The sequence below is a fragment of the Homo sapiens genome, chromosome 1, assembly GCF_000001405.40.
Source record: "Homo sapiens chromosome 1, GRCh38.p14 Primary Assembly".
In the NCBI taxonomy this organism is placed as follows: domain Eukaryota; kingdom Metazoa; phylum Chordata; class Mammalia; order Primates; family Hominidae; genus Homo; species Homo sapiens.
The window spans coordinates 39944017-39970428 of record NC_000001.11 but is presented as its reverse complement, the minus strand read 5'-3'; the positions used below and the strand labels follow the sequence as shown (position 1 = coordinate 39970428).

General features: G+C 51.2%; 1 protein-coding gene and 1 pseudogene across 9 annotated transcripts, besides 3 other annotated features; both read right to left on the bottom strand.

Moving 5' to 3' along the window:
• MFSD2A (MFSD2 lysolipid transporter A, lysophospholipid) lies at positions 473-15284 on the bottom strand. Of its 9 annotated transcripts, none has more exons than NM_001136493.3 (14): positions 15044-15284; positions 13208-13342; positions 11604-11767; positions 5095-5218; positions 4880-4958; positions 4415-4572; positions 3738-3828; positions 3497-3618; positions 3260-3343; positions 2718-2801; positions 2513-2625; positions 1952-2095; positions 1684-1860; positions 473-924 (listed from the first exon to the last, which is right to left on the bottom strand). In NM_001136493.3, the coding sequence occupies exons 1-14, from the start codon at positions 15134-15136 to the stop codon at positions 861-863; spliced, it is 1632 nt and encodes a 543-aa protein (NP_001129965.1). In that variant the 5' UTR covers positions 15137-15284; the 3' UTR covers positions 473-860. The 9 variants fall into 9 exon arrangements, 8 of the variants coding, with proteins under 8 accessions (NP_001129965.1, NP_116182.2, NP_001336752.1 ...); NM_032793.5 differs by having other exon boundaries at positions 11604-11728; NM_001349823.2 differs by having other exon boundaries at positions 11604-11728; positions 13208-13338.
• RPS2P12 (ribosomal protein S2 pseudogene 12) lies at positions 6985-7905 on the bottom strand (annotated as a pseudogene).
• Positions 9653-9762: an enhancer, noted in NCBI's record as "active region_823". NCBI's record gives its function as "activates an Ori minimal core promoter by ATAC-STARR-seq in GM12878 lymphoblastoid cells {active_cell/tissue: GM12878}" and the evidence as "EXISTENCE:reporter gene assay evidence [ECO:0000049][PMID:35858748]".
• Positions 15333-15462: a silencer, noted in NCBI's record as "silent region_717". NCBI's record gives its function as "represses an Ori minimal core promoter by ATAC-STARR-seq in GM12878 lymphoblastoid cells {active_cell/tissue: GM12878}" and the evidence as "EXISTENCE:reporter gene assay evidence [ECO:0000049][PMID:35858748]".
• Positions 25667-26189: an enhancer, noted in NCBI's record as "H3K4me1 hESC enhancer chr1:40409912-40410434 (GRCh37/hg19 assembly coordinates)". NCBI's record gives its function as "activates a minimal SCP1, AML or CMV promoter by ChIP-STARR-seq in primed H9 embryonic stem cells {active_cell/tissue: H9 hESC(primed)}" and the evidence as "EXISTENCE:reporter gene assay evidence [ECO:0000049][PMID:30033119]".

Sequence of the window (26412 nt, the reverse complement as noted above, 5' to 3'; positions counted from 1 at the left end):
ACAGAGTTGGGATAAAATTCCAGTTAGGTCACTAAAGGCTGCGTGACTTTAGCTAAATCCCTCTCTACACTAGGGTGTTCTTATCTTTCAAATAAGAACAGTCTTGACTTAGCAAGAGGCCAGGTGTAGTGGTTCACACCTGTAATCCCACTACTTTGGGAGGCTAATGCAGGAGGATTGCTTGAGTCCAGTGAGAAGGATTGGCCTGGGCAACATAGTGAAACCTCCATCTCTACAAAAAAATTTAAAAATCAGCCAGGCGTGGTGGTGCATGCCTGTAGTCCCAGCTACTCGAGAGGGTGAAGCAGAAGGAAGGATTGCCTGAGCCGAGATTGCGCCACTGCACTCCAGCCACAACTCCAGACATGTTCGCCCCCACCCAGTAGCACCTGGGGCTCAGTGTGTTCTCTAACGGAGTCTTAAGGCAGAAGGGCTCAGTGAGTGGCTGAGGACACAGACAGAAACAGGCAGCTGCTTTCCAGCTTTTATGAAAATTAATAACATTAATAGCTCACAGACATATACATACACACACATTGCTATGTACACAGTCATTAAGTTATTAATTAGGCTCTGTAAAAAAAAAGGTTTCTACATTAGTGTTCCGGGCTAGGCCCGATCAGTCCTTGGCATATTCACAGTGGCAGCCCCAGGGCTTGGCCCCACAGGCAGGCAGAGGGGAGGCAGGAGGCCACAGAGCAGCCGGCCCCACAGTGAGCACAGCAAGTGTCCTGGGCCACCTCCTTGAGTCTTCAGTTCCCTTCCTAGCACCTGCAGTCCAGCTGCTCAGCAAGCCGGCAGACAGGTCCTGATCCCTTCTGTGGCCTTCTGCATGGTGGCTTCGGGCAACGTGGCGGGCCCTAGAGGATGCTAGCCAGCTCTGTGGAGTCTGTTTCTGAGCAGCCAGAGCTGCTGGCCTCGTCCCTGCAAGAGAGAGAGGAGATGGGTTGGAGGAAGCATCCATCCTTACCCCTCCTCAGCCCCACCTGCCTCCTTCCTCACGTGATCTTGGCCCTGCTGTCGGACTAAAGTGAACCGCGGGACACAGAGTTTGCTCACTCCCACTTTCAACTGTTGGTTGGTCTGTTTACTGTCCTTGCTGCACACAGGGTACTGCAAACCCTAGATCTACACTCTCGCCTGGGCTGGCTGACGGGCTGGCATGACTCACTCCAGCCTGCCCACTGGTTTCCCCAGATGCAGGGTCAGGCCACACTCGAGGTCCTATATGCCAGGAGGCTGATGAAGAGTGCAGTCTCTGGAGCCGGAATGCTGAGGCTCAAACCCCAGCTCCGCCCCTTTCAGCTGGGCCAGGTACTCTTCCTGCTGAAACCTCAACTTCTTCACCTGCAGAGGGGGAACCCTAAGAACCTGATACTTAGGGTTGTTGGAGGGGTATGGGAGGTGATGGATACACACGTCCTATAACAGGCTCCTTAAGGACAGAGATTTTTGTCTTGTTCACTAGAGCAGTCAATGCCTAGCACATAGTAGGCAGCCAGTATGTATTTGTTGAATAAAGGTAAGACCACTTAACACAGTGCCTGGTGCGTACTTAAGTGTTACAGCTGTCCAGAGAAGATGTGTGGGGGGTGAGTCTGGACTTGGCCACAGGAGACACAAATTGAGGGTTTAGACACAGTGACGTCCCCTCCTCCAGCATCCTGTCCCCTCCCCACTCACCTCAGTGCCTGCAGGGCCTTCTTATTCTGCCGCCGCCTCTCCTCATCAATGGGGTACATTTTGAAGAGCAGCAGGCCCAGCAGGATGAGAACTATGGGAGCCATGGTCACGAGCATGTTCAGTGTAAACTTGACACGTTCCGGCTGCGAGCAGCCACGGGTCTGGTACCCTGCAAAGCTATGGGACCCAGGGGGTAGGAGAACGGTGAAGATGGGGCACCTGGGGCCTGGCCCTGCCCAGTCCTGCCCCAGGTCCCCACCCCACTCACTCCAGACTGAGGGTAGAAATGCCCAGTGACACTCCAGAGGCAAACTTGGTGAAGAAGACATAGAAGGAGAAGAAGATGGGCTCGGTTCCATGGAAGTGGGGCTGCTTCAGATGGAAGTCGTCAATGACATCAGGCAGCATGGACCTGCGCAGAGTAGTGACAGCCATGAGGACTGACCCACCTAACGGGCCTCTGTGTTAATGAGAAGAGGTGGCCCTCTGGAAGCTTGCAGTACCATGGGTACACAGCTCAGTGAGGATATGGGACCTTCACATGAATAAGAAAAGGCCTCTTGCTCTAAGAGGAAGTAACCCTGCCTGGAGGTGCTCAGCGTGGCAAGTGGAGCCCAGGCCAGATTACAGCCCCCATTTTTCACTCTGACTAGGTGTTCTTGCAAAGCTCACTACCTGTACAACTGTACAGGACAGACCTCCCCCACTCCTAACCTGGACCCACAGAATGGCCTGTGGGAGAACACTGCATAGAACTCTCCCTAAGGAGCTTCAAAACTGGGGACTAGGGGCTGGAGATACCCGAGGAGGGGGGCCTGTATATACCTACCAGGGTAGTAAGAAGGCAGCTGCCACACTGATGCCAGCTGCCACAGCTACCGCATATGTAATGATGAGGTTACTCTCCATGAGGGCCACCAAGATGAGAAATGGCACTGCTGACTAGGGAAGGGGGTGCAGGAAGATGAATCAGCTGGGAGGTTCCCACCAGACATCCCAACTCAACCCAGGCTCTGCTCTTCAACCCCACTCACTGAGATCCCAACATATACAGCTGTCTTCTTGCCAAACCGGGTCAAGAACCACTGCCAGATGGGAATGGTTAAAGTGGCCGAGAGCTGTGGATGGACAAAGGGGGTTAAAGGGAGGTGCTTTAGAGCCACAGAGCCCCTCCTGCCCTTCCCAGAACCCCAAAGTGGCTCCCAGCCCTGCCCAAGAGCAGCCAGATGACATCATGTGGGCAGCAACGAAGATGACAGGCACCTTTGACGGCTCCCCAGGGGAGCTCAGAGCTGGTCCAGGCCCACCTTGTCTGCTGCCCTCTCAAACCTCTGAGCCAAGTTCCTGGTGTCCTCGCCCTTGCTTTTGCTGTGCTCACTACTCAAACATCTAACCTCAAACTCTTTCTTTCACAGTCCTACCTTCGCAAGGTCCAACCAAATACCCTGAGAAGCCTCCCTCATCCTTTCATGACCTTGGGCCAGCCTGAGAAACATCCTCTGCCTATTCCAAGAACCATTCCACAGCCTATGTCACCTCAGCCCAGGCTGCCCGCCCCTGCTCAGGTCCCACTCACCATGATGGCCAGGAGTAGATTCTGGAATTCATTGCGGAAGCCCAAGGTGTAGGTGCAAAACAAGACAAAGTTCCCCTCCACCAGCTGGGCATGGAGCAAGGTAGGGAAGGAAATGCAAGGAAGGAGGTGATGTTGGGGCTGAGCCTCCCCAAGACATCCCCCAAGCCCCAGAGACCTCTGCTCACCCCGCTCCCATTACACCTCCTTCTCAGGCTGAGCATGTCAGAACCCACTCACCATGAAAGCCAAGGAGGTGAAGAGGAAGCCAGTAATAAGTTTGATGTATGGGCCGTGGCTCATGACCAGCCGTAGGCCCCGGAAGTAGGCGATTGGCTCAGACTGCTGGGCTTCATAGGGTTCTGGGGGCCAGAGCGGACAGTGAGGAAGGAGCAGAGACCCCTCCCAAAGCCTGAGGGCCAGGCAGAAAGATACAGCTGTCCATGCTGAGGCCTGCACCCCTTCCCAGGCACCCCCTTACCTCTCTGCTCCCGCACGCCCAGGATCAGGATGACAGCACAGATTATATAGATACAGACAATGACCCCCGCTGCCAGCAGGTATGCCTTTTGCTATAAGGAGGTGAAGGCGACATACAAGGATGGTCAGTTTGAGCTCATCCCAGCACCCCAGTTCCAGCAGCCCCACTCAATGATCTTGGGCCAGTCCCCTCCCCTCTGGGAGCGTACTGTCTCCATGTGTGAAATGGGAGGATCATCCTGGGCCTGCTGTTGCTTCCCAAGGCTGGACAGTTAAGATTCACAACATGCTCAGAAACCAGGCTGGTTGAGTGCAGCCCTCACACCTGTAATCCCAGGAGTTTGAAACCAGCCTGGGCAACTTGGCAAGACCCCGTCTCTACAAATAATAATAAAAGGAAAAAAACAGAAACCAGGCTGCAGAGTCTGACAGCCCAGAATTCAAATCTTCCCAAATCTCTGCAATTCACTAACTTTATGACTCTGGGCAACTTATTCAGCCTCTCTAAGCTTCAGTTTCTTTTTCTGCAAAGTAGGTATATTGGGTGCATTAATTGTTATGTATATCAAATGCCCAACATTTATTTAATAAACACTAGCTGTTACTATCTTTAGGATGACTACAAACCACCTCACTGTTCCTTATCTCCCCAAATCCCTGCCCTGCCCAGGGCCTCACCGTTTCCCTGTGTGAGGTGGTGCCATGTGTATGGTTGGCACTTTGTGAAGCTACTGTAGAGCTATTGAGGTCCTGGAAACAAGGCGTGTCTGCTTGGCCCACGATTTGTCCCTGGATCGCCGTGCCCAGCACTGTGCCCAGCACTTCCACAGTCATCCCTGGCAGGAGAAAAGGAGGTGTTTTGGAGGGGCCTCATGGATTGTGGGCCCAGGGAGGAAGGTCAAATGGGTGGGAGCCCAGCGGTAGCTCCAGGCAGGGTGGGTAGAGGTAGTGGGGTAGGTGACACCTTGGTTTGAACGCATATGCACCTCTCCAGGTCTCATCTGAGCAATAAGGGGATTGAGTTATTTTTAAGATGGTTTCACACCCACACTCTAGAGCAGAGCAAAGAGCTGGACCCGCAAGGGAAGAAGTATGGCTGGAGGGTCCCTGGAGGGTGGGGTCAGGTGGGCTGGGGAGACTCACGATAGGCGGTGGCAGAATCCCGCTCAGTCTGCTCGGTGCTGATGAACATGGTGAGAGCCGAGTAGGGAACATGGAAACACTGGCATAGAAGACAGGTCATTGGCTGGTCAGGCGGGTGGACACACTGATGTAGCTTCCAGTACCAACCCTGGGGGCCCCAAGGACCGCCCTCCTCCCGGCCCCTAGAGACACCCAAGGGAGGTACCCACACTCACCGTGACCATTGTTTCAAAGAGGCAATAGAAAAGCAGGTACCAATAGGTCTGGCCGTGTGGGAAGTCGGGCACGAACCAGATGAGGAAGTAGGCAATGACGGCCAGGGGCGTGGAGAAGATGATCCTGAGGAAGAGGAGGGTGTGAGTGGAGGCTGGAGGCTGGAGCCCAGGACCAGGCCCAGCCCAGTCTGCTGTGCCTCACAGGGTCCCCACAGGGAAGGAAGCTAAGCTCTTCCTTCCTTCCCCATACTCCTGCCAAATCCACCCATCCTGGGCCTCTGGGAAGAGGCTGATGACCAAGCCCGGAATGGCAGATGGGAACTGGGACCCCAGACTGAAATCCTAGGCATGGAGTGTGAGGTCAGAGCCTGAGTCTAGTCCAGAGGCAGCAGCCTCTAATGGGCTGAGAGTTAGGACAGGAGTCCAAGACCTCAGGTGCCTGGGCAAGGAGGCAAAGAGAAGGAGCAGCCCCAACTCCCGTGTTCTCACACGGATAGTCATCAACCGCACACACACACCCCATTCACACACACACCCCATTCACACACACACCTCATTCACACACACACACACCCCATTCACACACACCTCATTCACACACACATCATTCACACACACACACCCCATTCACACACACCCCCATTCACATACACACTTCACACACCCCATTCACACACACACACACACCCATTCACACACAGGGAAGCTGGCATGATGGGGAGAGGCCAGCTCCAAGTGAAGGAGTTGAAGGCCCAGGTGGGCAAATGTCCGCCTTCCCCATGTGAGTTCCACACCATCAAAAGGGGTTAGACCTCAGGATGGACTAACTTCATGGCATCAGTATAGCAAGGCAGCACAGGCCATGGTAAAGAGAAAGGCCTTTGAGCCACTCTTCAGGGATTCCATTCTAGCTCCACCAACTAACTATAAAACTTAGTCTTGGGAAGTTATTTAAATTATCTGAAGCTCGTTTCCTCATTTCCTCATAAGTTCCAGCTATGGGCTGGGCGCTATTCTAATTACTTAGGATAACTAGAGAACAGATAAAAAATCATTGCCCTTGTGGAACTTACATACTAGTTGGCAAACAGAAAAGTTGACATAATTTAAAAGTTATATATACCATTCAACCTTCATAAGGAATAAAATTCTGACACATGCTACAACATAGATGAACCTTGTAGACATTAAGCCAAGGAAAATCAGCAAGACACAAAAAGATAAATATTGCATAATTTCGCTTTGGAAGGATGTAATGGATGGATGGTGGTGATGGTGGCGACAAAGTGAATGTACTTAGGCTAGGCGCAGTGGCTCATGCCTGTAATCCCAGCACTTTGGGAGACTGAGTCAAGTGGATCACCTGAGGTCAGGAGTTCAAGACCAGCCTGCCCAACATGGCGAAACCTCCGTCTCTACTAAAAATACAAAAATTAACCAGGCATGGTGGCGCACACCTGTAGTCCCAGCTCCTCGGGAGGCTGAAGCGGGAGAATCACTTGAACCCGGGAGGCAGAGGTTGCAGTGAGCCGAGATCGCACCACTGCACTCCAGCCTGGTGACGGAGTGAGGCCCTGTCTCAAACAAACAAACAAACTCCTTGATTATTACATCCTTAATGTGGAATGTTAAAACTGCACTGCCCAAAAAAGAAATATTAGAGAACCGACAGGTTTGTATCCCTACTGTACCAAAAACAAAAACAAAAAAACCAAAGTGAATGTATTTAATGCCACTGAACTGTACACTTAAAAATGGCTGTAATGGCAGTGGCACATGCCTGTTATCCCAGCTACTTGGGAAACTGAGGCAAGAGGATTGCTTTTCCCCAGGAGTTTGAGTCCAGCCTGTGCAACATAGCAAGACTCTGTCTCGTAAACATTTTTTTTTTAACAGGCTTAATTCACTTTACTTCTCTTGTATAAAAACCCTATGTTGTAGCCACAGCTGGAGCCTGGTGGGTCTTGATGAGGTGGTCAGTGAATTCCTGATCGGGAGACTTGGTGAATACAGTCTCCTTCCAGAGGTCGGGGGTCAGGTAGCTGTAGGTCTTAGAGATGGCATCAAAGGTGCCCTTGGCAAAGCTGCCCAGGGTGGCAGTGCAGCCCCGGGCTGAGGTGTAGCAGTCATCGATACCAGCCATCATGAGCAGCTTCTTGGGCACAGGTGTGGAGACGATGCCAGTGCTCCTGGGTGCAGGGATGAGACGCACCAGCACAGAGCCGCAGCGGCCTGTCACCTTGCAAGGGACGGTGTGGGGCTTGCTGATCTTGTTCCCCCAGTAGCCTCTGCGCACGGGGACAATGGAGAGCTTGGCCAGGATGATGGCCCCACGGATGGCGGTGGCCACCTCCTTGGAGCACTTAACACCCAGACCGACATGGCCATTGTAGTCTCCGATAGCAACAAACGCCTTGAACCTGGTGCGCTGGCCGGCACGGGTCTGCTTCTGCACTGGCATAATCTTCAAAACCTCATCCTTGAGAGAGGCCCCCAGGAAAAAGTCAATGATCTCAGATCCCTTAATGGGCAGAGAGAAGAGATAGATCTCCTGCAGGGACTTGATCTTCATGTCCTTCACCAAGCGGCCCAGCTTGGTGACAGGCATCCACTCCTTATCCTCGGCCTTGCCTCAGCAAGCTCCGCAGCTTCGGCCCGGGCCCCGTCCACGGCCATGACCCCGGCCCCGGATGCCACTGCCGAAACCTCCGCGGAAGGCACCAGAGTTCCCCATCCCAGGGCCACCAGGGCCTCCAGGCCCCCCCGCTGCACCAGTGTCATCCGCCATTTGGTGTTTTCTCGGAGAAGAAGCTCGTAAACATTTTTTAAAGGTTATGGTAAATTTTATGTTACATATACTTTACCGTAGTTTTACAAAAGGGTTATATAACATGTTGGGAGATGAGTGCTGTGAAGAAAAGAAATAAAGCTGGCTCCAGAAGGTTAGAATAAGGGTGCAATTCACAAATGGGTGGACAGGGTAGGCCTTACTGAGAAGGTGGCATCCATGCCAAAGGCCTGAATGAGAGGAGGGAGTTGGCCTTTTAGACATCTGAGGCAAGAGTGGACCGGGCAAAGGGAATAGTCAGTGCAAAGGTCTTCAGATAGGTGCGTATCAGGCCTAAGGAAGGGCAAGGCCAGGAGGGCTCGAGTAAAGAGAACGGGGAGATAGAATTAGGAGATGAGGCGGGAGTGGAAATGGAACTTCTGAAAGGCCACTGGAGGTGCCTTGGCTCTAGTTCACAGGATTGAAGTAACTTTGAGACTTGGTTGATACTAAAATGTCAAACAGTGTTTGGGACACTAAGTGCTATAATGATCACATCAGGGAAGCTCAGCAGGAGAGTTGGCATGCGTAACTAATGCAGGCCACACCAGGGGAGCTGTAGAAAGCCCTGGGCTGGGAAGGAGACCTCAGGTCCAGCTGTTGCAGCCTCCCCATGGGACCCTGCTTGACATCTGGTCTCTCACACACTGGCCTTGAGAACTCCAGGCAAAGTGACTATCAAAGTCTTTCTGGTTTGGCCAGGAATGGTGGCTCACGCCTGTAATCCCAGCACTTTGGGAGGCCGAGGCAGGAGTATTGCTTGAGGCTGGGAGTTTAAGAACAGCCTGGGCAACATAACAAGACCCCATCTCTATATATGTGTTTTTTTGTTTTTTGTTTTTAATCAGAAAAAAGGAAAAGGGCCAGGTGCAGTGGCTCACGCCTGTAATCCCAGCACTTTGGGAGGCCGAGGCGGGCAGATCACAAGGTCAGGAGATCGAGACCATCTTGGCTAACACGGTGAAACCTCGTCTCTACTAAAAATACAAAAATTAGCTGGGAATGGTGGCGGGCGCCTGTAGTCCCAGCTACTCAGGAGGCTGAGGCAGGAGAATGGCGTGAACCCAGGAGGTGGAGCTTGCTGTGAACTGAGATCACGCCAGTGCACTCCAGTCTGGGCGACAGAGCGAGACTCTGTCTCAAACAAACAAACAAAAAAAGCGGGGGGGGGGGGGGGGGGGCGGGGGCGGGAAGAAAAGTCTTCCTGGTTTCAAGAAGAGGATTTAAATGTAGGCTTAAAGCAGGGGTTGCCCTGAGGCCCAGGAGGAGAGAGAGCTACAGGGTTCACAAACCCTGACAGACCCAGTTTCTTCCTACACTGAAAGGAAAGGGGGTTCCAGGTCTCCAGGCCTGGCCTGAGGAGGGGTCAGGTGGTATGGATGGAGAGGTCTGGCCAGGCATGGTGATGTTCATGCCTTTAATCCCAGCACTTAGGGAGGCAGAGGCAGGAGAATAGCTCCAGCCCAGGAGTTTGAGACCAGCCTGAGCAACATAGCCAGACCCCATTCACCACAAAAAGGAAAAAAAGTTTGGACAGGGAGGTCATATGCACACCAGCCTTCAGCCCACGAGCCATCCCGCGTGCAGGCATACACAGGCACCACCAGCCACAGAAGCATGTGCACACAGGCACCTGCTAGATCAGAAACCAGCCTGAAGGGCCCCCAGCAACTTCCCCAAACTGGCTGCCACGCCTGCCCAGGAAGTTGCTCAGTTCCTACATGCCACAGGGAAGGCCTGCCCACCTCCACCTCTCTTGACTCTGTCTCCTCAGGGAACAAGAGCTCCTCATCAGCCTTTGTCAAACACTCCATCCTCTGCTCATAAGCAGCTGAGCAGCTGCTGCTGAGGAACCCAGTGTAACTGGGAGTAACCCGGCCTGCAGCCACCATCCCTGGGAGCGGCTGCCTCCCATTGGCTGGGCCTCATGAGGCGACGTGGCAGCAGAGCCTCCCCTTCTACTGGCTGCCAGGGAGGCGGGCACAGGGCCAAGTCTCACGGGCTGGCGCCGGGGGAGCCCTGAGCAGCCTGCACAGGTAAGGCAGGCTGTCCTGCCCCCGGCCCTGAAGACTGGATCAAAGGCTCCAACCTGGGCCTTAGCCAGGGGCTGGCAGGATTGGGGTGGGTGGGGGGCCTCGTGGGAAAGGAAGCTGTAGTGGGGGAAGGGGTTGCGGGAAGAGCTTTGAAGGCCGGAGGCCAGGTATGGGCGCCCCTGGGGCAGGAAGGCGCCCACTTAAGCCTGGATGGGCTGGAGATGAAAGGGGTATGCCCCCCCACACCCTGAAGCAGGATGTCCTGGAGGGAACCAGAGCCCCCGCCTGACAGCCTATCCTGTGCGTCTCCCCTGCCGTCTGATCCGATCCGTGGCACCACCTCCGCCTACTTTGCCCCTGAAGCTGAGTAGCACAGGCTTTGTACCAAGGGAGAAGGTAATTTACGTCATCCAAGGTGCCAAAGGTTATGGGTTTGCTACCCCATTCCGGGTATTACCCCATCCCCTGCTCTGCCAGGAGCCACCCTGAAGGGGTGCCAAATTATTTATCACTGTGCTGTTGGAGGGTCCCACATGGAGGTAGAGATGCAGCAGGCTGGGCCTGAAGTCTAATTCCCAGCCCAGGATTCTGCAGTTCCCCTGGTGTGGCCTGTACTAGGGACCACATGCCAGCTCTCCTGCTGAGCTTCCCTGAAGTGGTCATCATAGCACTTAGTGTCCCAGACACTGCTTGGTATTTTAGTATCAACTTATTTAAGTCTCAAAATTACATCAACCTTATGAAGTAGAATTAAGTCAGGCACTGTTCTAAGAACGTCAAAAAAAAAAATTAATCCACCACAACTCTGTGAGTGTGAGATAGGTATAACTATTATCCCCATTTTAGATGAAGAAACTTGAGACTCAGAGATGTGAAGTGACTCAGCTCTAAGTAGGGAAATTGGGATTTCAACCCAGACAGGGGCCGGGCATGGTGGCTCACACCTGTAATCCTAACACTTTGGGAGGCTGAGGCGGGAGGACACCTTGAGCCCAGGAGTTCAAGGCCAGCCTAGGCAATATAGTGAGACGCTGTCTCTACAAATAATAATTTTAAAAGATTAGCCAGGTGTGGTGGCACGTGCCTGTAGTCGCAGCTACTCGAGAGGCTGAGGTGGGAAGATCACTTGAGCCCAGGAGTTCTAGGCTGCAGTGAGTTATGATCACACCACTGCACTCCAGCCTGGGTGACAGAGCGAGACCCTGTCTCTAAAAAAAAAAAAAAGAAAGAAAGATAGAAAGAAAGAAAGAGAAAGAAAGATAAAAATAATAAAATAAGCCCAGGCAGGCTGGCTCCAGAGTACAACTGCTTAACCACTCTTAAGTACTACCTCGGCCACTGCAGGAAGTGATAGAGTGGGAGAATTCAGAATTCCAGCTTCACCAAGGGGAATGAGTGGACCCTGGGGAGGAATGAGGCCTGAGCTGCCCAGCCTAGCACTTTGGCTGTCCTGGAAATGAACTGGCTGAGCATGCCAGTGCCCGTGCTCAGGGTAGCTGATGCCTCGGATGGGGTTTCAACACCCTTGGGCTTTTAACTCCTTCCTTCTCCTCACCCTTCTGCCTGTGACAAGACAGAGAGAAGGACCAAGGAGCAGATATGCTGGAAGTCCTGCCTTGTGCCACCTCGAAGGGGCATATTCTACTCACCAGGGCATAAGGCGACCCAGGCAGGTCCAGGGGGATTTGCTGATGCAGAGGCCCACCAGGGGGTCTGTGATGGCATCCCAGGCTCGGCCCACAAACAGGATGATGGAGGCAGAGAAAGGGCCCACCTGGAATGAGGAGAAGCAAAAGACAACTTCCTCATCCTTCTACTCGCCTCAACTCTCACTGGTAGGCAGAAGCAGAGGCTCCCTCCCTATCTCAGCCAGGATCTTGTGACCCTGAGCTGCTCCCACATGGACCTTACACATCTTCACTTGCCTTGTTAATAATGACAATAGCATTTCTCCAATAACAGTAGCACTGGGTGCCTCCTTAGAAGCTTTCCCAGCTCTGTCTCCTTAATTGCTTCCCTCCACTGCCCTTGAAAACATTCCCATCAATTCAAATGAATCCACAAACATTTCCTTCCCTCCCTCTCTCAGCCCTGAGCTCCTGACCACCTGATATCAGAATGAGCATTCACGGGGTGAACACAGTGTGCTTCAGTGTTCCCATCTGTATAATGGGAGTTATGAGCTCTACCTTACAGGTTCAAGCTCTATCTTGGATGTGGAAAAAGGAGCCTATAGATGCTTTTTAAAAAGGGACTTGTCACTACCCACTCAAGTTATCCCCCTCCCCGCCCCAAAACCCCCCAGGCCCTAAATACAGACTCTCCAGACTCCTCCTTATCCATCAAAGCCCTGCTATTGCTATTTCTCTGGGGAGTGGGTATTCTTCCCCATACCATAGTCTCCCTAGTCTAACCCCCCAACCCCAGCTCTAACACCCACTACAACAGGTTTACACTTTGACTGCAGGTTCCTCATATTTACACCCCACCCAAGGCCCAGCCCATGGGAGTTACTCAAAAATTAGCTGCTGAAGTTTTTTGTTCCTTCTGGAGTTCAGTGTTCCCCCTCTGTAAATGGATACAACTAAGATGCGATGCTTGCCAAGTTAGATGCTACACAGAGAAGACAGCTGGTGCAGGAGCCCCGGTAGTCATGGCTATTCTGCCTCCCACTCTCCCATCCAGACAGGGTGAATTCTCAGGATGCCAGGCTTCTGGCCAAGGCTTCTCAATGCACAGAATAGTCCTGTTTCACCCTAAGTACCCCTCCCAGTCAAAGACCCTGTGTACTGGGGCATTCTAACTTAGCCTGGCACCTAAGTGCCCTTCTGCTCCTCAGGTAAAGGTGGGATGCATCTCATCCACAAGCCTGGCAACAGCCACCAACCCCTGAGTCAAGCCAGCTGACTATCTCCCAGCCAGGAACACAGTGTGCCAGTCTCTTCTAAGAACAGCATCCCCAGCAGGCCCCATTCTCCCTCATTCTACCGCCTACCCCTTCAGGCTCTGTTGCTCATGCCAGGCAAGGAGGAGTTGCCAGACCTTTCCAGCAAAGACTCCTGGAGTGGAGACACTCCTTTACTGGATACTTTCCAGGGTCTTCTCATTTCTTGCTCACTGACTCAGAGGCAGCAAAGTAGTGATTTGGGGTCCCATTTCACAGATGGGGAAAACTGAGCGAACTGACCCAGGGGTGCATAGTCTTTCCCACCTCAGGATGCTGAAGGAGCCCTCGAAGGCTTAGACCACTCACCTGAGCCACATCCAATAGGTAGATCTGAAGGAAGAAACCCAGGGCACAGCCCGTCACCTGGTAGGGGGCTCCCCCAAGTGCATAGCAAAGCTTGTTGCAAACAGACAACTGTTGTTTCTTCTTTTTCGGTTCTTTCTGGGAAGAGGAGGAAAAGATGAAAGGCCCAAGGTTCTGGCCTCCATCCAAGAAGGTTCCACAGGAAGGACCATCCCTCTGGCCAGCTCTACCAGAACAAACAACTCTGCTTTGACCTGTTCCTATCCAGGAGATCCCACCTTTTTTTTTTTTTTTTTTTTTTTTTTTTTTGAGACAGAGTCTTGCTCTGTTGCCCAGGCTGGAGTGCAGTGGTGCCATCTCGGCTCACTGCAAGCTCCGCCTCCTGGGTTCACGCCATTCTCCTGCCTCAGCCTCCCAAGTAGCTGGGACTACAGGCACCCACTACCACACCCAGCTAATTTTTTGTATTTTAAGTAGAGACGGGGTTTCACCATGTTAGCCAGCATGGTCTCGATCTCCGAGATCCCACTTTATACAAAAGAAAGGTGTTCTCCATTCTTAGGAACATGGAAAAGGGGAATCCATACTTGTGTGAAAGTAGCCCCTAAGCCACCTCCCTCCTGGAGATTCTAAGGAAACTTATCAGCCCACCATCCCTAAAGAACTCCTCCCAAGGCCTCAGGCACTGCTCCTTTCCAGGTTTCAGGGGGAGCATGCTCCAGCAGCCGACCTGTCCCCACCCGGCACCAGCTGCCACAACCTGAAAATCCGCTTGCTGCCAAGAGCTGCCTGAGCCCAGCCCAGGCTCCCACCCTGCCTCAGAGACAGGATCCACCTGCCTACTCCTGGTGAGAGCTCTAGAGAGCTACGGGGGCCCGGCCCAGCTGGCTGCAGGCGCAGCTGTTCCACCTATCCCAGAGCATCCCTGACCACTATAGGCAGCCAGAGCTTCAGGCGGACCCAGGAACTGTCCTACTCTCCAGCTTCCCGACCCATCGCCCTCCACCCCTGAGCTCCTAGAGGACCTTGGAGACGGGAGGAAAGGCCTCCAGGTTCAGGCCTGATCCCTCTCCGGGTGGGGCACTAGGGAGGTTGGGTTGCCCAGGGAAAGTAGATATTACTCATACATAGTAACAGCATAATTGCTCACCCAGCTCCTTCCAAAGATCAGTTAATAAAATTAAAAGGAAAAGGCAGTCACCTCCCACGAAGGTATCTATTGCCTGAGATCCTTTCCTAGGGGGCCGCCTCATTTTATTTGGTCCTTCAATAAGTCCCCAGGGCTGGGGATGTGGTCGATGGTCTCGATGCGCAAAGCACCGTTCCCGCGCGAACATCCACATTCAGACAAATGCCTGAGGGACGCGGCTCCTTTAAGAGCAGAGCTCTTGTTCTTATGAATGAACTTGAGCGGCCCTAACAGCAGAGTTGAGGCGCAAGAGTAGGTGGGTGGAGTGGGAGGTAGGGGATGAGAGATGGGGAACCAAGGGGAGTTTCCCAGATTTCTGGGGTCATCTCTGGGGTTTGGGGCGGCAAGCCCCAGCCGCTCAACACGGAAGAATGGAAACCGGCTAGGCAGAGCGGGGAATCACATGGGGCTGCCGGCAGAGCCTCTCCGCAGAGCGTGGAGTGCGGGTGAGCAAAGGGGGGCGAGGGCGCCCACAGCTTTTCTCCGTCACCCCCTGTCCCAGGGCACCCCCAGGTCCTCTCTGGCTCGTAGGCTTCCTGTCCCTGGCTATCCCAATGGTCCCCTGACCAGGCCGACCCCGGGACGCCCCTGATCCCCCATTTCCGCCTCCTCCCTCCCCTCGCCCTCCACGCGGGGTGCCGGGCCCTCACCTTCACCTGGGCCGGGCGTTCAGTGCTTTGGAGGATGCTGGTGGGTAGCAGCCCCGCCGCGGAGCCGCTCTCGGCGCCTTCTCCTTTGGCCATGACCCGCGGGCCACGCCGCTTGGGACCTGGTAGACGGGATGCTCCTCTGCCCCGCAGGCCGCTGCTCCTCCCAAGCTCGCTTCGTAGCAGCCTTAGCCACGGCCGCCGCGCGCTAGCCAAGCCGGCTGGCAGACGAGGAACGCACTCTGCTGCACGCCCCCTCCGCGCCTCTTATAGTTCTGCCCAGCCCTCTCGGTTGCGGCCAATCCCCGAGCCCCGCTGCCCCGCCTCCAGCCAATCCCGTCGCCCGCCTCCCTGCCCCCGCCTCGCCCGGCGGCTCTGTGCCACCGAGCCACGTTCTCCAAGCCCCGGAACCGGCATCTGCCTGCGCTGGCTCCTAGCAATCCGAGAAGCAGGCCGCGAGACCTCCCAGACACGCGCGAGGAAACCGAGGCCCCAGGCTGAAAGTGATCTGCCCGGGGTCCCCGATCTGCCCGAGGTCCCCGAGGTCCCCAAGGTCCGACTCTCCCCGAGTCGGGCCTACCACCCATGACTTCTGAGCCCCAGGCCTAGGAAAGGTAGGGGCTCTGAAGCCCACTTTAAAATCTGGAGTCAGGGCCTCTCTCCTTCTTCAAGCCTAGAGGACGTACGCTGACACTTTCCCTCCTGATGCCTCTCTCTCATCCCCGAAGACACACCATTCCCCCGTCCTGCCCTTGGCATCCGGGCAATGGGGAGAAAGATGAGGCAATCCAGTGGCTGCCCCTGCCAGAAGGGAGCTCCCAAGTCGTGGAGAGAAGCCGGGGCTACGCCCGCTAGTACACTATGACAACAGTGGCCTTTTTATGGATAGCTTCCTCCATGCTTAATATGATCTCTTTCGGCCCTCAAAAACCACCAAGTGAGGGTGGTACTATTATTATCCCCATTTTACAGCACAGGAAGGGGAAACTTGGAGAAGTGAAGCAACTGTTATGTAGCAGAGCCAGGCCTGAAAGGTTTTGTCCGATACCAAAGCAGTTGCTCTCAACAGCCCTGCTCTATCCCTCTTAGCATAAATTACAGACGGCAGAATGGGGTGTATGTGTCTCCCAACAAGAAGCCCTGGGAGATACATGGCTCCAGAGGCACTGAGGGTTGAAACAGGGAAAGTTTTGAAAAAGAGAATGCCCAGAAATGTGGTCCTCAAAAGAAGATGGGAGGGCATTAGTTTGGAACAGAAGGCAGGCACGGATGCCAGAAAAGAACAGTCTTTAGTTCCACCTCTGAGTCCCTTATGTCAATGTCACCCCGGTCTTTCCAGTTCTCTGATTAGTGAAGGGGCTGCTGGAACTCTCAAAGGCTACCCACCCGGTTCCTGTGCTCCTTAATGTCAGCCTCCTTCTTCCTTTCTTTAAATCTCTGATTGCAGGGAGGAGAGATAAGGTCTATCTGCCCCAGGATGGTCACACCATGCTCCCTCATACGCCAGCAGATCCCATCTGGGCACACAGCTCTTGGCCATTGCTGAGCAGAAGAGAGCCAAAGTGAGGCACTGAATACTGTGGAAAGGGAATGGCTGGCCCCATTACTCCAAGCTGTGTGACACTGTTCTGTCTCTTTTCCCCTCTCCAGGCTTGGTTAGCTAAGCTCCCTTGCAGCCCCCAAATCTTCTCTCCCACAGTCACACCATACCACAAGTGATCTGTATCCCCCGGTTGACAATGAGCTCCTCAGGTAGGAACCGCATCTTTTTCACTTCTGTGTCCCCACCAACTAGCTTAGGGCCTGAATTATTGTGTTCAGTGAATGAATGTTCAGTCTTCCCCTGCTAAGGTACAAGCACACAGAAACCCATTAGGAAAAGCCCTAAGTGTCTCCATTTACTAGCTGTGCGGCTGACTCTGAACAACTCAGTTAACCTCCCTGTGTAAAATGGTGATATTAATAGTAGCTACTGGCCAGGCACCCTGGCTCACGCCTGTAATCCCAGCACTTTGGGAGGCTGAGGTGGGTGGATCACGAAGTCAGGAGTTCCGGACCAGCCTGGCCAATATGGTGAAACCCTGTCTCAACTAAAAATACAAAAATAAGCCGGGTGTGGTGGGGCACACCTGTAGTCCCAGGTACTCAGGAGGCTGAGGCAGAAGAATCGCTTGAACCCAGGAGGCGGAGGTTGCAGTGAGCCGAGATCGTGCCACTGCACTCCAGCCTGGGTGACAGACAAAGACTCTTGTCTCAAAAAAAAAAAAAAATTAATAGTAGCTACCTAATAGATTTGTTTTGGGGATGAAACAAGAAAATGCACAGGAAGCATTTAGCACAAGTGCCTGGGAGCTGAAGCTGGGCTGGTCCCCCTCCTGGCCTGATTCCAGTCTGTCAGTGTAGCAACGCAAGATTCCAGATATGGCCTGACCAAGCCAGCACAATAGGCCTATTATTTTTTCCAGTCTGGATGCGACACATTGTTAATGCAGCCTAAGACTGCTGGGCTTCAGAGCCTTTCTCTCCCATGATTAGTTCCCATCAGGTTGTGGTCAACTAAATCATTCAGATCCTTTTCACCGGAGTTGGGGTCAAGTCAGGTCTCTCCCCGATCCTCTGCTTTCTGTAATGTCTTGAGGCTCACAACAGAACAATGTCATCTTGCTTATTCCAGCCTGTCGAAATTGTTGTGGATGCTGGTTCTATGGCTCACTGTTTTCTCTCACTCTAAATTTAGATCTGGCTGTCCCTTGCAACTTCAACTCCACCAGCCATGTTGTTGGTCAGGACAGAGCCCCATAACACAGCACTAGAGACACTCACTGTCACCACTAACTGAATCACGGCACCGCCAATACAACAGCTCCCAAATACCAAGCAGCCACTGGTATGCTGGGCAGCGTGCCCCATAAGTGCTTTAAATATACTATCTCATTTACTTCTGTTTTTTTTTCTTTATATCTCATTTAGTCCCAACAACACCACTGGAGAGAGTTGTTTTTATTACCCTCATTTTATTTATTTTTATTTTATTTTCTTAGAGATAGGGTCTTGCTCTCTCCTCCAGGCTGGAGTGCAGTGGCACACACGATCATAGCTCACTGCAGCCTTGAATTCCTCAGCTCAAGTGATATGATTAGGCTTTGTGTCCCCACCCAGATCTCATCTTGAATTATATCCTAATAATCCCCATACCCCCACAATCCCCACATGCCAAGGGAGAGACCAGGTGGAGGTGACTGAATCGTGGGAGTGGTTTCCTCCATGCTGTTCTCATGACAGTGAGTGAGTTGTTACAAGATCTGATGGTTATATAAGGGGCTCTTCCCCCTTTGCTCAGCATTTCTCCTTCCTGCTGCTTTGTGAAAAAGATGCCAGCTGTGTGCAGTGGCTCACGCCTATAATCCCAACACTTTAGGAGGCCAAGACAGGTGGATCAGTTGAGGTCAGGAGTTTGAGACCAGGGTAGTCAACATGGTGAAACCTGTCTCTACTAAAAATACAAAAATTAGCTGGGTGTGGTGGTGCGCGCTTGCAGTCCCAGCTACTTGGGAGGGTGAGGCAGGCGTATCACTTGAACCCAGGAGGCGGAGGTTGCAGTGAGCCGAGATCACACCACTGCACTCCGGCCTGGGCAACAGAGCGAGACTGTCTCAAATAAAAAAAAAAAAAGAAGAAGATGCCTTGCATTCCCTTTGTCTTCTGCCATGATTGGAGTTTCTTGAGGCCTCCCCAGCCATGCTGAATTGTGAGCCAATTAAACCTCTTTCCTTTATAAATTACCCAGTCTCAGGCAGTTATTTATAGCAGTATGAAAACAGACTAGTATATTAAGCAGTCCTCCTGCCTTAGCTTCCTGAGTAGCTGGGACTACAGGCATGTGCCACCATGCCTGTCTAATTTTTAAGTTTTAAAAAAATTGGCTGGGTGCGGTGGCTCACGCCTATAATCCCGGCACTTCAGGAGGCCGAGGCAGGCGGATCACAAGGTCAGGAGATCGAGACCAGCCATGACCAACATGGTGAAACCCCATCTCTACTAAAAATACAAAAATTAGCTGGGCGTGGTGGTGTGTGCCTATAGTCCCAGCTAGTCAGGAGCCCAAGGCAGGAGAACCCAGGAGGCAGAGGTTGCAGTGAGCTGAGATCAGCCAAAAAAAACTTCTGAGAAGACTGGATTCAGAGAGCTTCTGGCTAGCATGAATACACAGAGCTTCCTGAGGGTAATGTCCCAGCCAAGGCATGGAAGCTCCACAAGCCTTCCTCCGTATCTCACCTTATGCATCTCTTCATCTTTATCCTTTGTAGTATCCCAAACCAGTCAACATGGGTGTTTCCTTGATTTCTGTAAATAACTCCAGCAAATTAATCCAACCCAAAGAGGGGATCATGGGAACCTCAATTTGAAGCCAGCTTGTCAGAAGTTCCAGAGGCCTGGCGTTGTGACTGGTGTCTAGGGTTCAGGAGACAGTCTTGGGAACTGAGCCCTCCACCTATGAGATCTGATACTATCTCCAGGTAGGTAGTGTTGGAATTGAATGAGAGGACACCCAGCTGGTGTCCACTGTTTAGTGTGTGGGGGGAAAAAAGAAAACCCATACCCGTGGTCAGATCATTCTTCTATGTTGGTGATTGTGGTGATGGTGGTGTGACAGTAGAGGAAAAACACAGTTTGAGAGGTTTTTCCTAAACAACTGGTGTCAGGAGTGGGATATTCTGGGCTGATCCAGGCTCAAGGAAACATGTGGTTTGGGAAAAGAAAGTACAAAAAGATGAAAGATGAGGAACCTTTGATTCCTGGGTGGCCATGTGCTCACCCATAGTATGAAGCCACAGGGACACACGTAGTATGTACCTAGATTAGGTACTAAAAGTCAAAGATACCAGGGAAATTTAGAGATGGCTCCAACTCCCAGGGAGTTGATTGACTACATGCATAAGGAAATGCAAATTAATAAGAAAAAAAAGCTAAATATTCAGTTCCTTGGTTATTATCTGTAATGGCTAACGTGAAATTAAAAGAGAATGCTGGGTGAGACCTTGGTGCTAGACCAGCTTAGACCTCAATCAGTCTGAATTTAGGCCACCAGCCTCAAAGCTGCCCCCACAGGGCAGAATTATGCAGAGACAACAGAAAGTACTTCTAAGACTTGTGTTTACCAAGAAAGTAATCACTGTGGGAGGAGGGCAAAACCAAGTAACTATTGAAACCAGAGGGCATAGTGTGAAGGAATTATTCCATTTTGTAGATCCTTATCATCAGCTTCCTGAGGAACTTTTACGAAAATGAATTCTGTGAGTAAGTAGTTTAGGAGCAGGATCTTTGGTTTTAATTGCTGCGGAGTGGAAGAGCCTGTTTGGGTTGATGCAGGACCCACAGCTCACTACTGAACAATGGCAGATGGGTATATGTGATTCAGACACACAAAAGATGTATTTCTGAGGGAATGACCAGCCTTGGACTGGTTTTATCCAGTGGACTGGATAAAAGCCACTATAATATCTATTTACCCTGAGAAGCGGGGACTGTCCAACTCCACCTAGAAATGCCAAGGGGACCACCCCAGATGAAGCAGCCCATATGCTTCATATGCAAGCCATATGGGACTGGCTTTATGATGGCAGGGACATTCACCCACTGAAGATGCCCATTACCCAAGTCATGCTAAGTGCTGTGGTTAAAGGAGCCTCTTCTACACTGGCACCCCATGTAAGCTTACTCCTGCAGAATCAAACAGCAGTTCAAATTTGCTGTCTCAGCTTCCATTCATGGGTCTTAGAGATGCTAATGAAAGCATAAGGTTAGTTAACAAGAGAATGAGAAAAGGCAAAAGGTAGAGTCAAAAGACTCATCCTAAGAAGACTGAAATTTTTAAACGGTTATTAAGAAATAAGATGAATAAAGAAAACATTTAGCCAGACGTTGTGGTTCAGGCCTGTCATCCCAGCACTTCGGGAGGCCAAGGCAAGCAGATCGCTTGAGCCCAGGAGTTTGAGGCCAGCCTGGGCAACATGGCGAAACCTGTCTCTCCAAAAAAATATTAAAAATTAGCCGTGCATGGTGGCACGTGCCTGTAGTCCCAGCTACTCAGGAGGCTGAGGTGGGAGAATCACCTGAGCCTGGGAAGTCAAGGTTACAGTGAGCTGTGATCACACAACTGCACTGTAGCCCAGGTGACAGAGTGAGACCCTATCTCAAAAAAAAAAAGAAAGAAAACATTGATAGGGTTGATGGGATGAAACTAAGAGGAAAAAGAAAGGGAGAGTTGGCCGCGCGCGTTGGCTCACGCCTGTAATCCCATCACCTTGGGAGGCCGAGGTGGGCGGATCACGAGGTCAGGAGATCGAGACCATCCTGGCTAACACAGTGAAACCCCGTCTCTACTAAAAATACAAAAAAAATTAGCTGGGTGTGCTGGCGGGCACCTGTAGTCCCAACTACTCAGGAGGCTGAGGCAGGAGAATGGCGTGAACCCCGGAGGCGGAGCTTGCAGTGAGCCAAGATTGCGCCACTGCACTCCAGCCTGGGCGACAGAGCGAGACTCCGTCTCAAAAAAAAAAAAAAAGAAAAAAAAGAAAGGGAGAAGTTATGGGACTCATCCCCATGGGGTGAAAATCTTTAAATGGTTATTTTCAAAACTGAATGAATAAAATGAAAATTGATGGCTTTAAAACAAAGATCTTAATACAACACTTTTGAAGCCTGGGTGGACCAAAGGGAACCCTTACTGGTCCCCAATGTTAAAGGGCCCCAAACCAGTTTCCTATATTTCCCCCAGCTGGGAGAAATTGAAAAATCTGGAAGGCAGAGATTACAATGAGAAATCTGATCTGAAATTGCCTAGGGAAACGGTCAAACAGATTAATCAAGATGTAGATCAAGGCAGGGTGTGGTGGTTCACGCCTGTAATCCCAGCACTTTGGGAGGCCGAGGTGGGCAGATTACTTGAAGTCAGGAGTTCAAGACCAGCCCGGCCAGCATGGTGAAACGCCGCCTCTACTAAAAAATACAAAAATGTATCCCAGCTACTAGGGAGGCTGAGGCAGGAGAATGGCTTGAACCCGGGAGACAGAGGTTGCAGTGAGCCGAGATTGCACCACTGCACTCCAGCCTGGACAACAGAGTAAGACTCCATCTCAAAAAAAAAAAAAGATGTAAATTGAGGCCCTGTGTGGTGGCCTATGTCTGTAATCTCAGCCCTTTGGGAGACTGAGGCAGGAGGATCACTTGAGGCCAGGAGTTCAAGATCAGCCTGGGCAACGTAAGGAGACCCCATATTAAAAAAAAAAAATTCAAAAAATTAGCCAGACATGGTGTCACGTGCCCGTAGTCCCAGCTACTCAGGAGGCTGAGATAGGAGGTACACTTGAGCCCAGGAGTTTGAGGCTGCAGTGGGCCATGGTTGTACCACTGCACTCCAGCCTGGGCGACAGGACGAGACCCTGTCTAAAAAAAAAAAAGATAAAGATAGCCAAAAGCAAAAGGGCCAGGGTCCTTTGGCTCAACCCCTGGCTGGGAACCCAAAGCTTTTTGCACAAGAGTGGGTAAAATGGTCTAGGGATGGAGAAGTTCCTGAAACTAGGACATAAAAATGTAAGAGTTGATAGGATTTTGAAAGTTGGTATATTTGAATACACCTCATGTGAAGTGGTTGCATCTCTTTTACCTGATTGTAGCATGGGAATGAACACTGTATCTTATTGGAGAATGTTTCCCCTACCTGGTTTTGTAAAACAGAAGGCATGTAAATCTGCCCTTCAAGCATTATTAATTGAACATGCTAAACGGTAACCTATAAGTCTGCCAAGCCCACATGGTGCAGAGTAGAAGATAGAATACCAGTAGGTTCAAATTCTTCATTCGATAGCCCTATGTTGAACATTTCCTGGCCTTTTGGCAAAAGGCTGTGAGCACTTCCCAGCAACGACTCCTGGGACTTTGGACTAGAGAATTTCCACTTGAAGGGTATTTACTACCTTGTTATGGAACATAAACTAAAGCTGTCCCTATGACCGAAGGGCATAAAATAATCTTGAAACCTGAAATACCCATGATGTTTTCAGTGATATCAGAGAAATACTCTAATGGGGATGGCAGTGCCCAGAAGTGTTTCATAATAAAATCAAAATGGTTTATACAGGATCGTGCTACCTGAAGAGTGCAAGGAGGAGACACTCAAGCAGAGAGCCTCTTTACCCCAAGACAGACACTGAAACTGTGTGAGGAGCTGCTGGATTCCATTGACACTTGGACAGTCCAGTATGAACAGCTCTCAATTGACCAACAAGGAGCTGCTTGGTTTTGTTGTGAGGTGCTTTTTTTTGAGGGAGGGGGGCGGGTATTTTTTATTTTTATGTTTTATTTTATTTTATTTTTTTTGGAGACAGAGTCTCGCTGTGTCGCCCAGGCTGGAGTGTAGTGGCGTGATATTGGCTCACTGCAACCTCCACCTCCCGGCAAGCAATTCTCCTGCCTCAGCCTCCCAAGTAGCTGGGACTACAAGCACATGCTGCCACGCCTGGCTAATTTTTTGTGTTTTAGTAGAGACGGGTTGTCACTGTGTTGCCCAGGCTGGTCTCGAACTCCTGAGCTCAGGCAATCCGCCTGCCTCAACCTCTCAGAGTGCTAGGATTATAGGTGTGAGGCACTGTGCCTGGGCTGGGTAGGGAGTGGTTTGAGATGGGGTCTTGTTTTGTCACTCAGGCTGTACTGCAGTGGCTCAATCATGGCTCACTGCAGCCTTGACCTCCTGGGTTCAAGCGATCCATCCACTTCAGCCTCCCGAGTAACTGGGACTACAGGTACAAGCCACCATGCCTGGCTTATTTTTGTTTCTGTTTTTTAAGACAAGGTCTCGCTATGTTGCCCAGGCTGGCCTTGAACTCCTGGGCTCAGGTGATCCGCTTGCCTTAGCCTCCCAAAACACTGAGATTACAGGTGTGAGCCACAGTGGCCAGCCCAAGGTGCTTGGTTTACAGACTGCAGTTCCGAAGTGAATGAACAACATCCTGTTTGGATGGTAAAAATAGATCAACTTGGTGGGCTGAGCTGCATGCTGTTTTTCTAACAGTAATGGAAGAATTGAACAGTGATGGAAGCCCTTGTGTTTGGGTTTCTACTGACTTATGGGCAGTGACCAATGGCTTGGCCATACACTCAGGTAAAAGGGCAATGGAAACCTGGCTTATTAAAGGATGCCCATACGGAGCATGGCTCTATGGAAATTTGAGGGGTGTATTACAGTAGAATAAGTTAACACCTGTCAGAACTCCCTTTCGCATTCAGAAGGTGACTAGAGTTGACAAGCAGATATCTCTGTGTACTCCCTAGAGGTGGCCACCTGTGTCCATGAAATGAGTGGATATGGGGGTATTGCAGCAGTATAGAGATGGGCTGAATCTAGACATGTTCCTTTTGCTTCCTCTCAGGCACATAATGCCAGTAAAAACTGCTCTGTTGGTCGGTAAGAGAGACAGAGACTGCCAATGGCTATGGAACAGATTTCCTGATGGGAAGGCCCTAAACACAACTGGCAAGTGAGACTGATGTTGGAAACCCGGGAAGGGCTAAAAATGGGTCTTTAAAAATTTTTGTTTAAACAGATACAGGGTCTTGCTATGTTGCCCAGGCTGGTCTTAAACTCCTGACCTCAAGGTATCCTCCCACCTCTGAAAGTGTGGGGATTGAAAATGGGTCATGCCAGGCGCGGTGGCTCACGCCTGTAATCCCAGCACTTTGGGAGACCGAGGCAGGCAGATCACGAGGTCAGGAGTTCGAGACCAGCCTGACCAACATGGTGAAACCGCGTCTCTACTGAAAATAGAAAAATTAGCCAGGCGTGGCGGCATGCACCTGTAATCCCAGCTACTCAGGAGGTTGAGGCAGGAGAATCACTTGAACCCTGGAGGCAGGAGTTGCAGTGAGCCGAGATTGCACCATTGCACTCCAGCCTGGGTGACAGATCGAGACTCCGTCTCAAAAAAAAAGGGGGGGTCTTGACATGCCGGGCAGAGTGGCTCACACCTGTAATCCCAGCACTTTGGGAGGCCAAGGCGGGTGGATCACTTGAGGTCAAGAGTTTGAGACCAGCCTGGCGAACATGGCGAAACCCTGTCTCAACAAAAATACAAAAATTAGCTGGGCATGGTGGCATGTGTCTGTAGTTCCAGCTACTCAGGAGCCTGAGGCAGGAGAACTGCTTAAACCCACCAGGCAGAGGTTGCAGTGAGCCGAGATCGTACCACTGCACTCCAGCCTGGGCGACTAAGTAAGACTCCGTCTCAAAAAAAAAAAAGAGTCTTGACAGAAATAAACACTGACTCTGAGGTGGGCTTTGCTTACACAGTGAAAGATAAAAACGCTCAGAGTGCCATTAAAAAAAAAACACACAGGCTGGTCTGAAGGTACTGAGTTATCTCAATTGTGCACAGTCAGTTACAGATGGAACTCCTTGTTCTACCCTTTCCCTGCTTCTTACTACTGCACTTGACTAGTCTTAAAAAACTAAATAAATAAAATTTAAAAATGAAACCAGAACAGAAGATATTGCACGGATTTGGATGCCCAACTGTCATTTTATCAGACCAAAGAACACACTGTACCGCCCATAATGTCCAACAATGGACAGAGGGAGATATCCTCCTTAGAGTAATAGTTTGAGAGAGAAATAGAACAGGCAATTGAAACATATGGTTATGTAAAACAGGGGGAGATAAAAGCGAGGAGGGTCCTCATTACATTTTTGTTTTTCTGGTTGATGTGGGGAGGAGGAGGTGGGAGGATGCTGGTATGACTATGCAATTCTTGCCGAGGGAAGAGTACACTTTTTTCTTCCCCGAATCACCTAAAAAAAAATTTTTTTTTTCTCTTCTACCTCAGCAGTGGTCCTAGGACCACGGCTACAATTGAAGTGCTGGAAGCAGGGATGATTTCTAAGCAAGAAACTAACTGTGTTTTTAAATCTTATGTCAGAATTCCTAACGGCCTGATGGGAGTAGCCTTCACCCCTCTAGCAAAGTTGGGGTTAAGAATGAGTATGCCTGGCTGGGCATGATGGCTCATGCCTGTAATCCCAGCACTTTGGGAGGCCAAGGCGGGCGGATCACCTGAGGTCAGGAGTTTGAGGCCAGCCTGCCCAACATGGTGAAATCCCGTCTCTACTAAAAATGCAAAAAATCAGCTGGGCATGGTGGTGGGTGCCTGTAATCCCAGCTACTCAGGAGGCTGAGGCAGGAGAATCGCTTGAAGCCGAGAGGCGGAGGTTGCAGTAAGCCGAGATCGCACAACTGCACTCCAGCCTGGGGCGACAAGAGTGAAACTCTGTCAAAAAAAAAAAAAACAGAATGAATACGCCTATATTGCCTGGTGGTAAA